Source organism: Homo sapiens, chromosome 14 (genome assembly GCF_000001405.40).
Source record: "Homo sapiens chromosome 14, GRCh38.p14 Primary Assembly".
Taxonomy (NCBI): domain Eukaryota; kingdom Metazoa; phylum Chordata; class Mammalia; order Primates; family Hominidae; genus Homo; species Homo sapiens.
Genome location: NC_000014.9, coordinates 55,254,360 through 55,272,080, shown reverse-complemented (window position 1 = coordinate 55,272,080; position 17,721 = coordinate 55,254,360). Strand labels below are relative to the sequence as shown.

General features: G+C 43.5%; 1 protein-coding gene and 1 long non-coding RNA gene across 8 annotated transcripts in view, besides 1 other annotated feature; one reads left to right on the top strand and one right to left on the bottom strand.

The window, feature by feature from the left end:
- FBXO34 (F-box protein 34) overlaps positions 1-660 on the bottom strand; it is a 171,629-nt gene extending 170,969 nt beyond the window's left edge. For 5 of the 6 annotated variants that reach the window (XR_007064026.1, XR_007064028.1, XR_007064027.1 and 2 more), the window contains exon 1: positions 544-660. The gene's annotated coding sequence lies outside the window, so the exon portion shown is untranslated. Of the gene's footprint in view, positions 1-96; positions 173-543 lie in introns of those variants that run through there. The other variant, XM_006720185.4, reaches the window with a different exon arrangement.
- Positions 3-9,850, top strand: FBXO34-AS1 (FBXO34 antisense RNA 1). Of its 2 annotated transcripts, none has more exons than NR_184222.1 (2): positions 3-199; positions 8,925-9,850. It is a non-coding gene; the product is annotated as an FBXO34 antisense RNA 1 (long non-coding RNA). The 2 variants fall into 2 exon arrangements; NR_184223.1 differs by lacking the exon at positions 3-199 and adding an exon at positions 779-936.
- Positions 109-608: a silencer, noted in NCBI's record as "silent region_5781". NCBI's record gives its function as "represses an Ori minimal core promoter by ATAC-STARR-seq in GM12878 lymphoblastoid cells {active_cell/tissue: GM12878}" and the evidence as "EXISTENCE:reporter gene assay evidence [ECO:0000049][PMID:35858748]".
- Positions 9,851-17,721: the final 7,871 nt, after the last annotated feature.

Below are 17,721 nucleotides of genomic sequence, written 5' to 3'. Positions count from 1 at the left end.
CCGCAGTCGACTTGCGCCAGCCCAGAGGCTGGGGAGGCGTCCGAGCCTCCGTCCCGCCTCGTCGTTGAAGAAGGTTAAGGACAAGCGCCAGCTCACCTGCGCTGGGGCAGGGAAGGGCAGAGTGGCCGAGCCCGGGAGGGCGCGACAGGGGCGAGGCGACCCCAGTCCAGAGGCTGACTTCCTCACCGCCCTGGGTCCCGTAAGTGGGAGCGCCGGTCCGGTGCAAGCTCACGGCCTATCCGTGAATCTCCTCGGCTTCAGCGGGGACCCAGGACCCCGCTCCCTACCCGCCCGACCCTCCGTGGCCCGCGGGGACGCTCAGCGCCCGGGCCGTGCGCGCGGAAAGAGCCGCACCGGAGGAGGCGCAGGCGGCCGGGTCCCTACCCCGGACCCGCGGGCGGCGCCCCCGCCCCCACCCCCACCCGCCCCGCGCCCCGGGAGCGCAGGCAGGCGGCGGTAGGGGGCGGGGAGCGGCCACGGTGGCCGCCGCCGGACCCCAGTCGCGCGGCCCTCGCGCCACGCCCCACCTCGGCCCGGACCCACCTGCGCTCCTGCCCCGGCCGCGGCCTGGCCCGGGGCTGCACCAGCCCGACGCAGTGGTGGCGGCAGCAGCGGTGGCGGGAGGCCTGGCTCACTCCCCACCGCTGAGTCGGACCGAGCACCCAGCGCGGCGCGGCGGCGCCCAACGCTCGCCCCGAAACCCATTTGTTTGGCTAAAACGGAGTGACGTCACGCGCCGGCCCAATCGACGGTTGGCCGGGGGAGGGGCCACGGATCCAGAGTTTCACGGCGCCCCCTGCCGGACACTGGGGGCGGGAAGGGGGAAGTGAAAAGGGAGACCTGGATGACGCGTCTGCGGCCCCCAAGTGGTAGAGAATGAAAGTTTGAGCACGACTGTAGGGAAAGGAATCAAACCTCCCAGGCCAGCCAAGAAGGGTAGTGACGCCAGGGTTCAATCAGCAGACATGTCAAGTTTATGAATATTCGTGGGTGGACCTGAAGCTGTAAATGGTCTCAGATACTATTAGATAACCTAGTAGACCTGGATCCTCATACTGGTTCTGCTGCTAGCTTGGAAGGCTGGGGTTCAGAGTTTCAATTTGTAAAATGACAAAATTGGAAAGGTCCCTTCTGACTCTCTTTCCTATGAAAATCATGGCAGGGATACCGGTCAGAAAGTAGATAAACGTTGAGGCTGACACGAAACTGTTAAAGTCTGTAGAAGCTTAAGGGCTGGTTAATGATGGATATAAATTTTTAACACTTTATATTCAAATCAGAGGGCCAGTGAGGAACTTTTGATTCCCAATCTTTAAGCTTATTATTGTTTTCATTGTGAAAATAATATTAACCACATTGAAAAACATGAGGACAATGTATTTTCTTCTAGACCTTTTGCCCCATCACATATATTTTACTACACTGTAATAGTAGTTGTACGCGATTTTGCATCCTCTTTTCACTTTTATAAGCATTCCTCATATTTCCACATAAGCTTCATAACCAGTTTAACAGCTGCATAAAATTACATTAAGTGGACATAAAATTTACTGCAGTAATTCTCTATTTTTGGACATAACTTGTTTCCTTCATTCACTTTTTGCCATTATAAAGAAATCATAGAACATCTTCATGAATGTAGATTTTTAAAGATACCCAAAAGTGAAATTACTAGGTGAAAAAGACTATCAACACTTTCACAGTTACTAATACAAACTGCCAAATGATTTTTAAAAGGTTGTACCAAGTTACACTTAAACCAGCAACTTTGATTTTAGCCAGTCCTTAACAAAAATAATTTTGTCCAATTATAAAACTACTGTTGTAAAATATATGTGTAAAATCTTAAATATTAAAACGTAAAAACAAAATAAAAATATTTCCCATAATCTCATCACCAAGAAATAACCACTCAGTATCTCCATCTAGACCTTTATCTATATACATATTTTTAATAAAAATTGGAGAGGGGAAGTCCAGGCACGGTGGCTCACATCTCAAAAAGGAAAAAAAAAATTAAGGAAGGGTGTTATATGGTACACCGTGGCATCAAACTGTATGTCTGATTTAATATGTGAGCAATATTAGCTCAATATATCATGATCATTTGAAGCTTCTTTATGTCATAGTTAGCTCAAAATTGTAAAACTTCAGTTTATCCTTTCAGATTCATCTCAAACACTGTCCTTCTTAAAACCTCTTGATTCCTTCTGGGCATGGTGGCTCACGCCTGTAATCCAAGCACTTTGGGAGGCCAAGGCATGCAGATCATTTGAGGTCAGGAGATCAAGACCAGCCTTGCCAACATGGTGAAACCCTATCTCTACTAAAAATACAAAAATTAGCCCGGTGTGGCAGGGCACGCCTGTAGTCCCAGCAACTTGGGAGGCTGAAGCAGGAGAATCGCTTGAACCTGGGAGGTGGAGTTTGCAGTGAGCTGAGACCACACCACTGCACTCCTAACTGGGCGACAAGAGTGAGACTCCATCTAAAAAAAAAAAAAAAACAAACAAAACTTGATTCCTGTTGATTAGAGGACTCAAAAAATTGATATAAAAATGAAATTAATTTTAAAAGACATAATAAAAGCCCGAACTATTAATTATTATATTTTTTCATCTTTTTCTTGAGGCAGGGTCTCACTATGTTGCCCAGGGTGGTCTCAAACTCATGGCCTCAAGCAATCCTCCTTTCTCAGCCTCCCAAATAGCTGGAATTACAGGAGTGAGCCACCATGCCTAGCCTATGAATTATTGATTATTAAAGTCCACAGACATAAAATTATTCTGTCAAATTGCTAGTAAAGTTTCTAAAATCTGATTCTCAATTTCAGTTCTTGTCTCAGATTGGCCAGTGAACCACACTTTAAATAGCCCCAGTCTAGGAGAAAAGAACTAGGAGAGAGCATAACCATGTTAGGCAAGAACTTCCCTTGATTTTGTTTCTCCATTTGTATAATGGCAATGATCCCCTAGAAGCAAAGCCAGTAGAGCCAGTATAGTTTATCAACCCACAGGTCCTGTGGTAGGTCTTCAGGAAGGTGCTCCCCAGGTGGGCATGGGGTGGCACATTGAGGCCATGGGACTGGTGAGAGCCGAAAGAAGAACAAGACTGAGGTGGCACAGCAGCAGAAAAGTTCTAAATATATATAGTATATATATTTGGTTATTCCATTAGTAATTAAAACTTAGTTGTTTCAAGCCAGCAAACATATTAATTAAAACTCAGTTCAAGGGATTTGTCTTGTATAGACTTGGTTTCATTTCTGTTCTTTGCTCAGAAAAAAAAAAAAAAAAAACTAAGAACTTACTGCTTATTCCTTAATAAGCTTACTCCAACCTCCAAATAAAAACACCCACTGCTATGGTTTGAACGTGTCCCCCAAAGTTTATGTGTTAGAAACTTAATCCTCAATGCAACAGTGTTAAGAAGCGGGACCTTTAAGAAGCAATTAGGTCATGAGGGCTCCGTCCTCATGAATGGATTAATGCCATTATCAAGGGAGTGGATTACTTATCAAGAGAGGGAGTTACTATAAAAGCAAGCTTGGCCCTCTCTATCTCTCACTCTGTTAGGTGTTCTCTTGCTCTTCCACCTTATACCATGGGATGATGTAGCAAGAAGCCCCTCAAGAGTTATGAACCCCTTGACCTTGGGCTTCCCAGGCTCCAGAACTGTAAGAAATAGATCTCTGTTCTTTATACATGACCCAGTCTCAGGTGTTCTGTTATAGTAGCATAAAACAGACTAGGACACCCACCATTTCATCTTCTCTCTCTCACCCCCCAACCCTCCTTATCAAACTTACTTCCCCGCTGCTGGAGAAAGGAAACCAAGAGACAGGCTCCATTAGACTTTGCATCTAGACCTACTTTGCTGCAGAACCTAGGCCGCTGGGTGTGATAATGCCTTTCCCTACCTACTTGACTGTGTTATTATAAAGACCAAATAAGAAAAGAGAAGCAGAAGTGCTTTTAAAAGTTTCAACTTTGCAAAAGTAAAGCATGTACTTAAAAAATATGCCTGGAATGTGGCCGTTGGAGCATGCTTCAAGCCCTGAGCTTATGCCCAGGTTTATGCATGTGTGAAGCTCATTGGTGATGACGGGGGGATGGGCAGGAGCTACTCAGCCATGAGAATATAAATATTATCCACAATAAATAGAACAACTCAGGGAAAACTAGAGCACCAAGGCAGCACACTGTCTAACAGATATGATTCTATCTTATAATTAAGATGTGGATGGTGAGGGACATAAAGTTGAATAAGTATTGAAACCCAGGAAATCATAGTTCTTATCCTTCTTATCCTTCTTTTTAGATCTTGTGCCCCTGTGAAAATCTGATAAGAGCTAAAAATCAAGAGTCTCTTTGGAGACTCTTAGCAGAAGTAAAAAAGCACACCCTGATATATACAGACAGTTTAGAAGATAATTTTAATTTTTTTAAAAGTTCCTTAGATTAACTTATCTTATAGTGATCTGCACTCTCATGGTGGGGCGGTGTAAGAGACATGTAGAGCAAGGGCAGCCCTTCCAGTACAATGGATGGGAAACAAATCAAGGTCCCAGATCCTCCTATCCCCACAGTATTGCCCTCAGAACATTCAGAAGGTGGTTTCTACACTGTCAATACAGTGAGCCACACAATTTCCATAGGTATCTCTCTTTTTTTTTTTTTTTTTTTGAGACAGGGTTTTTGCTCTGTCACTTAGGCTAGGCAGCAGTGGCACCAACTCGGCTCACTGTAGCCTTGACCTCCCAGGTTCAAGTGATCCTCCCACCTCATCCTTACAAGTAGCTTGAACCACAGATGCTCGCCACTGTGGCTGGCTAATTTTTTATTGTTGTTGAGATGGGGTCTCCCTATGTTTCCCAGGCTGGTCTCAAACTCCCAGGCTTACATGATCCTCCCAACTCAGTCTCCCAAAATGCTGGGATTACAGGTATAAGTCACTGTGCCCATATTTCACTTCTGATAGCATATAAAAGGAGAAATTCTGGCCGGACGCAGTGGCTTATGCCTGTAATCCCAGCACTTTGGGAGGCTGAGGCAGGTGGATCACAAGGTCAGGAGATCGAGACCATCCCGGCTAACATGGTGAGACCCCGTCTCTGCTAAAAATACAAAAAATTAGCCAGTCGTGGTGGTGGGCGCCTGTGGTCCCAGCTACTCCGGAGGCTGAGGCAGGAGAATGGCGTGAACCCGGGAGTCAGAGGTTGTAGTGAGCTGAGATCACGCCACTGCACATCAGCCTGGCAACAGAGCGAGAGTCTGTCTCAAAAGAAAAAAAAAAAGGAGAAATTCCTTCTCTTGCTAAAGTTATAAGCAAGGCTTAGACTGAAATCGTCACATTCTTTTCATCAAAATTAACACTTGGGCAGATTAGATAACAGGCCACAGTGGTCTCCAAGTCCCTCCTTAATGTTTGAATTTTTACTAGAATTCTAGGCACAAGTAACAATCTGCATTCCTGATGTCCCTACATTTAAAAGCTCTATGTAGTCTATGGAACTCAAGTGCAGTACAACAGAAGTCAATGACAGCATTATGTTAGCTCTTCCGTCAAGTCAGGCAATCTCTGTTCCATCTCGAGGTCCCTCAGCCCGGAAGCTTCCTCTCCCCTCTGCACCTCATTGGCCCCAACACTACCTTAGGTGTTGGCTTAACAGTCTCCTCAGGGCACTGAAGGTGCCAGACTTTATATTTAGAGGGATTTTGGAGGCACTGGGGGTGGTGGGGGCGGGAGGGGGGTACAAAACTGGGGAACTTAATGTTAGGAACATTTGCCTAGCCAGCACAATTTTTACTTAGATATTATTTTTATTTGGGGTGGCATGGGAATGCAGTTAGAGCTTCTTCAAGCCAGGATTTCCCTAGCCTTCCTATCTAGTCGCCCCAAAATTATTCTCTTTCACAAAGCTGTTTAGTTCCTTCATAACACTAATTACACTAGAGTTTATTTATTATAACCCCTGTAGAATGAGAGCTTTGGAAAACATGGGAACTGAGTTTTATTCATCACTTTATCCCAATACCAACCTCGGTGCCTAATACCTAGAAGGTACTCAATAAGTAATGGTGATGTCATTGAGCATATATATATATATATATATATATATATATATATATATATATTTTTTTTTTTTTTTTTTTTTTAGATGGAGTCTTGCTTTGTCGCCCAGGCTGGAGTACAGTGGCGTGATCTCAGCTTACTGCAACCTCTGCCTTCCAGGTTCAAGCAATTCCCGTGCCTCAACCTCCCAAGTAGCTGGGATTATAAGGGTGCATCACCACACCTGGCTAATTTTTGTGTTTTTAGTAGAGATGGTGTTTCACCATGTTGACCAGGCTGGTCTCCAACTCCTGACCTCAGGTGATTCGCCACCCGCCCCCGGCCTCCCAAAGTTCTGGAATTACAGGCGTGAGCCACCATGCCCGGCCAAGCCTATATTATTTTTTAAAAACGACCACATCATAAGGTGTTTGTCTTACTTGTGATAAAAGAAAAACTTTAGACAAGTTAAATTTAACAGAGTTTAACTGACCAAAGAAAGATTCACAAGTCAAGAAGCCTCCTGAGTCAGAGTAGGCTCAGAGAGACTCCAGCACAGCCACGTGGTGGAATAAGATTTGTGGACAGAAAATGGGAAGTGACATACAGAAAACGGAAGTGAGGTACAGAAACAGCCACATTGGATACAGCTCAGCGTTTGCCTTATTTGAACACAGTTTCAATAGTTGGCCACCTATTGGCCAAAACCCGGTGGCTGGTACAAGCCAGGGGGTTTAGTACTAATAGGTAGGTTAGTCTGTTTGCACATTCAGTTAGGTTTCAGTTTACTATGCATGGAGAAATTTTTGGGCTGAACTTAAAATATGTAAGGAGGCAGCTTTAGACTAAACTTGATTTAACACTTGTTTTCCTTTTTTCTTTGTTCTTTTCTTCCCCCATGCGTGATTGCTCGCACATAGTCATTTCGGTAGAGGGTAGTCACTACTAATTGATTAACTTCATATCCTAACCCTCAGGGGCTGCCCACAAGATTAATGAACTTGTTTTTCCAAAGAACAATGATTCTTGGGTCATTCAGACCTCCTTGATGGCATTCAGAAGTTTGATCGGCCTTGATGGCATTCAGAAGTTTGATCGGCCTAGGGATCTCACCTTCCACGTAGCTACCTTTCTCATGGAAACACTCAATCATGTTCAAAGGCAGGTTGGATTTGAGAGTTTGCCTGTCCTATCCTCACAATTTGGCCAAATTGAATAAGCCTTCTCTGCTCCTAAGACTGACATATCTGTGTTTGGCTTACTGCGCACCAGGTACTTGAATCTGGCTTTTGGGGTTCTACAACAACAATGGAATAATTTATGTTCAAATGCTAGAAAGATTTTCTGCAAGGACAACAGTGATCTATATTTAGAATCATTTAGCCCTTGCAATTATGAAAGATGGAAGACGTTTTTGAAAGGAAGATGGAAGAAAATGAGGGACCTTGCTCCTTAGGAAAGTGGGATGTTCCCCAGGAAGTGTTCTCTCCAAAGCCAATGGAGTAAGATTAAAAGACATGATCCAGGCCAGGCGCGGTGGCTCACCCTTGTAATCCCAGCACTTTGGGAGGCCAAGGTGGGTGGATCACTTGAGATCGGGAGTTGGAGACCAGCCTGGCCAACATGGTGAGACCCCCCCCCGTCCATCTCTACTAAAAATACAAAAATTAGCTGGGTGTGGTGGTGTGCGCCTGTAATCCCAGCTACTCAGGAGGCTGAGGCAGGAGTATCTCTTGAATCCGGGAGGCGGAGGTTGCAGTGAGCCAAGATCACGCCATTGCACTCCAGCCTGGGCGACAGAGCAAGATCCTGTCTCAAAAAAATAAATAAAATAAAATAAAAAAGACATGATTCGGATGAGGCCATAGACCCTGGAGCTTGAATCCAGAGGTTGGGACCTTTTAAAGAACCAGGAGATGGAAGAGCTGTGCATAGGAGACTAGAAGACAAAACGGTAACATTGCCTTAAGAAATAGAAGGCAAAAAAAAAAAAAAAACCACAAAATGAGAACGCAGGTTTGCATAGCCCGCTAATTATTATAGCACAGAAGGAATTAAACCCAGCTGCATTCCAAGTACAAAAATATAGCAGGCAAAGGGAAGCAGCTCATCACACACACACACACACACACACACACACACACACAAAATCTTGAAGCCGTTTGATTCTTCTCCCCGCTCTTAGAATAAAATCAGAACCCTTTACTGTGGCCCAGTATAATCAGACATGTTCCTTTTATCAACTCTCTTTATTCTCCCAACTTGTCTCAGCTAAAATGTCATCGCCTCAGAGAGCCTTCCTTAACTATCCAGTGTAGTATTTCAGCCTTGTTTTCCTTTGCAGTGCCTCATGCCTGGTACATAATAGGCACCCAATAAATATCTGTTGAATTAATAAAAATATACTTTCTTTTACTAAAAGATTTAATCCAGGCCACAAATGTTACAGTGGATGACTAATAAAAGTAACATGAGTAGAGCGACTTGTACATTAAAAATAGGACCTGAATAAAGGCAAAATCTAAGTCATTGCTGCAAATATATGACCAAAAGTAGGAACATCTGAGCCCTACAGAACCTAGCCAACCAGCCAGTCATGATTTTGATGCTTCAACACAAATTACCCGTGATTTAATTACCTAGCTCACCCATTGATTACAAGGATATTTACATTAGCCACTTGGCATTTAGATAACCACCAGTATTCATCAGGTAATGCCAAATAACTTGTGTTAACATCTTTTATATTTTTAATAAGCCCCTGGTCTGTTTGTTGAGAATAGCAAGATAGAAAATGGTGTGAGCGTGGGAGTCACTGCCCTCTGACTGCCTACTGAACAGCAATTTCCCCTTTTCTTGCTTGTTAACAGAATCCTGATCTGGGCTACCCTATCTGTGCTTCTGGTGAGGTGGGCCCAGAACCATCGTGTGAATAATGATTGACCTCAGCTAGTGGTTCTCATGGAGTGATTGATTTTGCTTCCCAGAGGACATCAGCAATGTCTGGAGACATTTCCAGTTGTCACTACTTGAGAGGAAGCGTGATCGGCCTCTAGAAGGGAGAGACCAGGGATGCCGCTGCTCAATATCCTATAATGCACAGAACAGCTTCTACGACAAAGAGTTATTCCACCAAAAATGTCAGTAGTGCCAAGGTTGAGAGAACCTGCTCTAGGGTAATCAGTGTGGTCCCAATCTCCCTGTCAGTAACTGATTCAACTCACATAATAATCTTATGGGAGTGTGATGTAATTCTAGCCAATAAAATGCAATGGGAAGTTGGCCGAGATACTTCTGAAAAAATCTTCTCTTACCCCTAAAAAGAGACATTCATTTTCTGTTGAAATGCATTACTTTCCTAAATAAAATCATATTTACCAACAACGAGAAAAAGAGAAACATGCAAGAAACCATCTGTTTGCTGCTAGATGCCATTGTGTCTGCAATGTGATATCTGGAACTATGGCTGTCATCCTGGAACCATGAGAGGAGTTAGCTGAAGAAACAGGAGGATGGCAAAGCGGAAGGATGGAAGTTACCTGAGGCTGAGGACATCAGTGCACCTCTGATTTAACCAATCCTTGAGACTTCTTGTTATATGAGATAATAAATTCTATTGCTATTTAAGTCATGTATAGGGCTTTAAAACATTTCATAGCTGAAAACATCCTGATATATATTTTATATTTTTATTTGATATGTGGAAGAGAAAATAAAATATGGGAGGAAAGACACTAACCTCCTTTGGGGGCAGGCTCTACAATTGTCCAGTAATAAAATAATTTTCTTTGCTGTGCTTCCAGAATGATCTTAAACTAATGATACCAGAAGTTGATAAAATCAGTGGGGGAAACAGTCTGTCTATTAATGCATAAGATTGTGTTATTTAAGTAAATGAGTAGGCACTCATGTGACATTTTGAAATCTTCAAGAAAATGATATTTTCCAGTCACTGCAATTTAATTTGGGGGAGCCTGCAGCATTAGCATGAGACCAGCCAGCCTGTCCTTATTCTTCTCAAGCCCTAGCACACCTAATTCACAGGCACCTGCTACAGCAAAGGAGGAGCTGCCTGGCTAAAACAACCTAGTTACATCAGCCTGCTAAAAATGGTCCTAGGGATAGATTTTGCTCAGCATTGAGTTCTTTGAATAACAACAACAAAAAAAACCCAGCAACTTATTCTGCAGTTTTAGGGTTTGCTGACATTTTTTTACCAGGCGTAACTATGCTTTTATTGCCAAGTCTTACTTTAAAATACCAAAGACAACTTTTCAAAAAGCGGAGCTTGGATATCAAGATTTCCTTACCAAAAAAAAAAAAAAAAAAAAGCATTTGTTTTGTTAATTAGTATTGAACTTGAATAGGGGTGCCTTCAGATACTTTCCTTGGAAAAGTTTATGGTGATTTGGCCTTTTTTATTTTTTTGAGACGGAATCTCACTCTGTCACCCAGGTTGGAGTGCATGATCTCGGCTCACTGCAACCTCTGCTGCCCAGGTTCAAGCAATTCTCCTGCCTCTGCCTCCCGAGTAGCTGGAATTACAGGTGCCTACCACCACACCTGGCTAATTTTTGTAGTTTTAATAGAGACAGGGTTTCACCATCTTGGCCAGGCTGGTCTTGAACTCCTGACCTCATGAACCACCTGCCTCTACCTCCCAAAGTGCTGGGATTACAGGCGTGAGCCACCACGCCAGGCCAATTTGGCTTTTTTTTTAGTGTACCATTATATAGGCTCGATCATGCCACTATATTATAGTTCACTGTCACTGACAGAGAATCCCACTGACCTTTCACAGCAACTCACGCCTTGCCCCTTCTTAAGACTGCTGAGCTATACATATTTTTGTGTGCCTTCAGCAAGACACACTCTGAACAGTAATGCCTATATGTATCACTAAAGTCAATTGAGCCTTTTTGTCCTTTCTCTTGATGTCCCTCCCCTCAGCAAAGCCAAAGTGTACCTTCAAAGTAGCATAAGGACGACCTTATAAAATTACTGAAGGTGTGAGCATCTCATTGCTCCTCCTGATTCAGAGCTATTCTGGTTTTCTTATCTTGGAGCTGACATTTTCACTCGCAGATTATATGCTCCTTAATGCCCCATTGCTCCTGTGGCTTCTGCCATCTGTTACTTTTACTATTGCTGCACTTTTCTAGCTTTCTGTGTTTCTTTCTCTCTCCTGCCTCTGTCCCTACCGTATCTCCAATATATTTTGACTTTCTTTCCAATAGGCTTGACTTCTATAGTCATCACTAGCCAAGAAGACTCCTGTTGATCTACACATGACATCCCTCTGGTCTCTGCATGTCGAGTATAGATCTGAATCCTCTCCCTTTCTCAACTATTTCCTCCATTCCTTGCTACTCGGGGGCTGCTTTTGCATGGATGCATGCATTTTCTTTTTTACATTTTTCAGTACTGGCAAAACTCTATAGAGTTCTGTCCTCTGAATAATGCTAATATGTGTGGTAATGGCTGAGTACGGGTGCTTATGCCTGTAATCCCAGCACTTTGGAAGGTCTAGGAGAAAGGATTGCCTGAGTCTAGGAGTTCAAGACGAATCTGGGCAACATAAGGAGACTCCGTCTCTACAAAAAATAGAAAAAGTTAGCTGGGCGTGGTGGTGTGTGCCTGTAGTCCCAGATACTTGGGAGGCTGAGGTTGGAGGATTGCTTGTACCCAGGAGTTCGGAATTGCAGCAAGCTATAATTGCACCACTGCACTCCAGCTTGGGTGACAGATTGAGACCCTGTTTCTAAAAAAAACAGTGTGGTCACTAGCTCCATTTTTAAGTTCATTAAATCCTTCTAAAAAATACCCTAAATATGTTTCCACATCTGTGTTATTCTGTGTGTTGGCACATCCAATTCTTTTTTTTTTTTCTTTTTTTGAGACAGAGTCTCACTCTGTTGCCCAGGCTATGGCGCAGTCTTGGCTCACCACAATCTCCACTCCCCAAGTTCAAGCAATTCTCCTGCCTCGGCCTCCTGAACAGCTGGGACAACAGGCATGCACAACCATGCCTGGCTAATTTTTGTATTTTTAGTAGAGACGGGGTTTCTCTATGTTGGCCAGGCTGGTCTCGAACCCCTGACCTTGTGATCTGCCCGCCTCGGCCTCCCAAAGTGTTGGGATTACAGGCATGAGCCACTGTGGCCAGCCGGCACATCTAATTCTTAATTTCCTGCTTTAAGGAAGAAGTTGAGTTCTGATAAGTAAAAGCCCTATTGGAACATCACAGGAAAAAAAAAAGAAACGTGGAGTTTTTCAAGCTCCAAAATTATTGGCTGAGCCATCCTTCTTTCAAGAGCCTGTACAAAGTATAAAATGAGTAAAGTTGGTATTCTTTGCCTCTTTCAATTCCACCCTTGCGCTTCTCCTGGGTGGCTGTCAAGCCATCCAGAGAAGGCACAAGCACTGTGATGCACACCAACATGTTCCTATCCACCTACTGCAATGTCATCCCCATGACTTCTTCCCTCACTCTCTAAACAAATTATTCCCAAGATCTATGATCGTGTTGTATACTTTGTTTCCATGTTTGCTATTTCATTTAAAACATTTTAATGTAATTTTTACATAGAGCTACCCCTCTCCCTATGTGAGCTCTTTAAGGGCATACACTACTGATTTATTGAATCAGTGACTGCATGAATAATCAATGAGAACAATTTCATTTACTACATCACACTAGTCAGAGACAAAAATACTTCTTCATTAAGTGCAGTGATATTTAAATTGCCACATTTGTCGATATTACATAAATGGAACAAAATTAAAGAGTATGACCCTCCCTAAAGGCCATAGCTTTGTGATCCTTTCCTGAATCGTTAACCTGAATCGTTACCTGAATGTGCTGGAGTGAATCTTACTGGCCTTTCCAAAGGCTGACATTTTTCTTGGTGCCTTTTCAAGGGTAAGATGACTTACATGTTCTTTTCAGGGAGTTTTTCAAATGTTGGCAGATTGGACCTTATTATCATGGATGGGACTAAAATTTGCACATTGTTATCAAAGATAAATTATATGAATCTGAGGCTAGGCACAGTGACTCATGCCTGGAATCCAAATGCTTTAGAAGGCCAAGGCAGGAAGATCACTGTAGGCCAGGAGTTTGAGACCAGCTGGGCAACATAGCAAAACCCTATCTCTAAAAAAAAAAAAAATTTTTATTTTTTGAGATGGAGTCTCACTCTGTTGCCCAGCTGGAGTGCAGTGGCGGGATCTCGGCTCACTGCAAGCTCTGCCTCCCAGGTTCACACCATTCTTCTGCCTCAGCCTCCCGAGTAGCTGGGACTACAGGCTCCCGCCACCACAGCTGGCTAACGTTTTGTATTTTTAGTAGAGACGGGTTACACCGTGTTAGCCGGGATGGTCTCCATCTCCCAACCTCTTGATCCGCCCACCTCAGCCTCCCAAAGTGCTGGGATTACAGGCGTGAGCCACCGCGCCAGGCCTACAAAATTTTTTTTTAAAGTAGCAGGGCATGTTAGCACATCCGGTAGTCTGAGCTAGTTGGAAGGCTGAGGGAGAGGACTCCCTGAGCCCAGGAGCTCCAGACCAACCTGGGCAACACAGTGAAACCCCATCTCTACAAAAAATTCAAAAATTAGCCAGGCATGGTGGCACGTGCCTGTAGTCTCAGCTACTAGGGAGGCTGAAGTGGGAGGGTCACTTGAGCCTGGGAGGCCAAGGCTGCAGTGAGTTGTGATCACACCACTGCACTGCAGCCTGGGTGACAGAACGAGATTCTGTCTCAAAAAAAAAAAAAAGAAACTTAGCCAGGCATGATGGCGTGCACCTGTGTTCGCGGCTACTTGGGAGGCTGAGGTGGGAGGATCACTTGAGCCCAGAAGGCTGAGGCTGCAGTGAGCCATGTTCATGCCGCTGCACTTTAGCCTAGGTGACAGAGTGAGACCCTGTTTCAAAATAAATAAATAAAAACACAATTTAATATTCATCTAAGTGACAATTGAATCTGACAATTTTTTTTTTAGCAATAGAGATCAAAGTAAAAAACCTGACAACATTTTAGTCCAGTCTGAGTACCCTTTTATTTGATTCCCTGTCAGTCTTATGGAACTGTCGGTAAAATCTAAATCCAGAGCCAGACTCACAAGTACCTAATTATTTTTTAAAAGCTGTTTTCAAATACTTAAGAAAATGCAAACTATTTTTTCCCTACGTATTATTTTCCCTATTCATTAGGGAAAAAAATAGAGAAAGGGCCAGAAAACGTTTTGTTCATGTGATAAAAGCAAATTGCAAAACAACATACACTATATGCTACCATTTATTCAAATCTTAAAAACATACAAATCACACACACACACACACACACACACAACAATACTTGGTATTGCTTATGGACAGCTACCATTGCAATAAAAGCCTAAAGACTTCAATGAAAAATACCCAAAACAACTTCAGAATAATAGTTACCCCTGGGGAGAAAGGAAGGGGGAGAGAATTGGAATGGGGAACAAAAGAGCTTCAATTTTATCCATAACATCATATTTAAGAAAGAAAATATGTGAACAAAATATGGTGAATCTGTGGATGTTTGTAAAATAACTCTGATATTTTTTGCATCTTAGATATATTTCATAAAAGTAACAAGTAAATGCAAATTTTTCACTTGAAAATTTTAGAAGAAATTGTGATGTGAATACCTTTGAGAAGAAAACCAATAAACTTATTAATTACCTCTAGGTAATATTGACATGAAACAAAAAAAAACCTTAGATTCATTCTTATTTTCTGCTCTTATCCCAAATCATTTGTGAAACATAGACACTATTAGCTAAACATTTAAAAGCCTTACTATATAAAACATAATTCTTTTTAAGTGAAAAAAGCGAAGCTGTGATTTCTACCTCTATTTATGGGCATGACTGCTCTATTTTTCCACTGAGAAGACAATAACAGATCCTAGGCATTTATAAGACACGTGGAATTTGAAGTCTAGGGGCAAGCAAATGCTTCTGTAATGCTGTAAAAAGCATACACAGAAACGGCAATGAGACGGATATCAAAGTTCTCCTCTCATCCCTAAATCGTCCTTCTGTCAGTTGCTTTTCTAATTGGTTCCATACTCTTGAAAGGGGAGTTCCCTGACCCCCCTCACTGGACGTGCGACAGGGGTGTGTCTCCTTATGGGAGGGGGAGCACGCAGACAGGCAGGTGCAGGAGCTGGGGTGAGAGCTTTTGGACTCCAGCCCCATGGTAGGATCTAGGGCTGGGTGCCTGCAACTCCTGAAGCCCCAGAGGGCATGTTACAGTGCTCTTTTAACTCTGCCATCCGCAGACAGCTTAAGTGTTAACCAGCTCAGTGCCTTCTTGGTACCCGGGTTCTTGTCTGGCATCCAGGAATAATCAGGTCACATGGACAAACTGAAGGATGGTAAATGCAGGGGATTTTATTGCCAGATGGAAGTGGTTCTCAGCAGAACAAATGGAGAGCTGGAAAGAGGATGGAGTGGGAAGATGATCTTGCCATGGAGTTCAGCCATCCCGCAGCCGATCACCTATCCAACCGTCCCCAGCCGAACTTCTCTCAATGTTTAAATGTTTCTTCTCTTCTCTCCTTTTCTTCCACGCCACATCACTCTTTTGCTCCTCTGCTCTTCTGTTCATCTGCCCATGGAGCCTGGGGTTTGGGGTTTATATGGGTACAGGATGGGGGGCGTGGTGGGCCAAAAGGCAACATTTGGGCATGAAAACAGGAATGGCTGTTTTCATTTAGGGCCATGGGTTTCCAGGCTTGGGGGTGGGGCCTTGCCAGGGAACTGCCCTCTTCTACCCATTGTTTCCCTGGCTCCTGTCCATATCACTCTCAGAATGCGTACACAAAGCAAAGAGATACATGGCTGACCTGTTACAAAACAGTACCATTCAATGACCAAGCACAGTGGAGGGCCCAGGGAGCCCAGAAATACATAAGGAGAAATGCACAGGATCCCAGCCTGTCTTTATGGACATACGGCAAAGTCTGTGGTCACACTGCATCAAATGCCCACATTCTTGATCCATATGCTTCATGCAAAATAAATTGCAAATACATTGTTAGGGCTAATGAAGCCTCACCAGGCTCTAAACTATTAAATTATTAAAACCTTTTACTTTTGCCTAAAACGTGTAAAAGTCTTGTGAAAAAAAAGAAAAGGCATCACTTTTTTTAAAGGAGTGCCCGAGACCTATTTCAAAAGCACCACCCAACATAAAGAAATCATTCTGGGATAATATAAGATACCTGATGAGAAGGAGAGCTAGTAACACCAAAGTACACTCAGAGGGCTTTTGCTAGCTGAGAACACCCTGGGTTCGGTGCAAGGCATTCTACCTTTTCCCATGCTGGTCTTTACTTGCCTCAGGGGAGTAGATGGCAACTTAGAACTCAAGGTAGATTTGTTTTTCCTTAAAGAAAGTTAAGGTAACATCTAAAGGCCTCTTTTACAACAAACAGATCAAAGGCTGGTTGAAAGCATTTACAGGCAGTGGTTCACAACCTTAGCTGCACTTTAGAATCATCTAGGGAGCTTTGGAAAAGTAGGATGCATAGTGACAGCCCCAGAGCAACTGAATTAGAATCTGTGGGAGGAGGAGCCCAGGCATGGGTGATTTTGATGAACAATGAAGAATTATTGCCAAAGGGACAGGGAGTGCCGGCCAAAGTGCCGGTCTTGGAGATGGGGGTGGGCTGTGCAGGAAAGCCTGATTTATATCACATTTGCCTATTTCATGGTGTAAATACTCCCATCATGGCCAGTTTCAAGCTACTGATGTGAAGCTGGGAAGAGATGCGCACAATCTGCTCTCACTAGCACCTGAGTGCTAGCTCCAGCACACCACAGTCAGGAGCTTTTGATGATGAAGTTACAGCAAGGGATGGAAAGGCAACATAGTACGTCCTGGTGCTCTTCTGTCCCCTCTATAACATCTCAACCCTGACAGGAGGATGAGAGAAGAATCAACTGGAACCAGCGGCTCCCGGGTCATGTAGGAAGGTAAGCCAAAAGAAGATCCCAAGTGTCTGTTAGTGTGAAGAACACCAAGACAAGGTCTCACTTGCTCCTGTAGAAGATTCACGTTGAGATGGAGTTGGCCTCCTGATGAAGGGAGCCTTTCTCTGGGATCCTGACCCAACAAGGGCAGCATATGATTCATACAAGATGCTGAGCCCTGGATCTCCATGACAGTACAGTTGAATGTTCCTTTTTCCCTGGGGATCTGGTCATCCAGAGGATTCCCTAGTGAACCTCTTGGGCCTCTGCCAAATATCCCATTTGGAATATAAGGATTCTTTTCCAGACATATGAATGTATGCATTTTCTCCTCTTAAATTATCAGGGTTTCTCTCAACCAACACAGCTCCCAGCTCATTATCATAAGCCTTTCTTTTATAGGTAATAAGCTAGCTTTGATAATAGCCAGCTTTTCTTTTGGATTTTTCGGAAAGAATTTGATTTCTATTTTATAGGTGTTCAGCTCTTTACATGCATGACTGCTCTTCATATCTGCTTTCAAAAGATTCTGCTCTGTATTTACAGGGCAAACTTTCTCTGAATTGTTTTTTCAGTGAAAATTCATTTTTTTCCTTGATGCAATTCTGAAAGAACTTAAAGTTTCTGCCAAAGCTTTGGCCTCTCCCTTCCTGTTTTG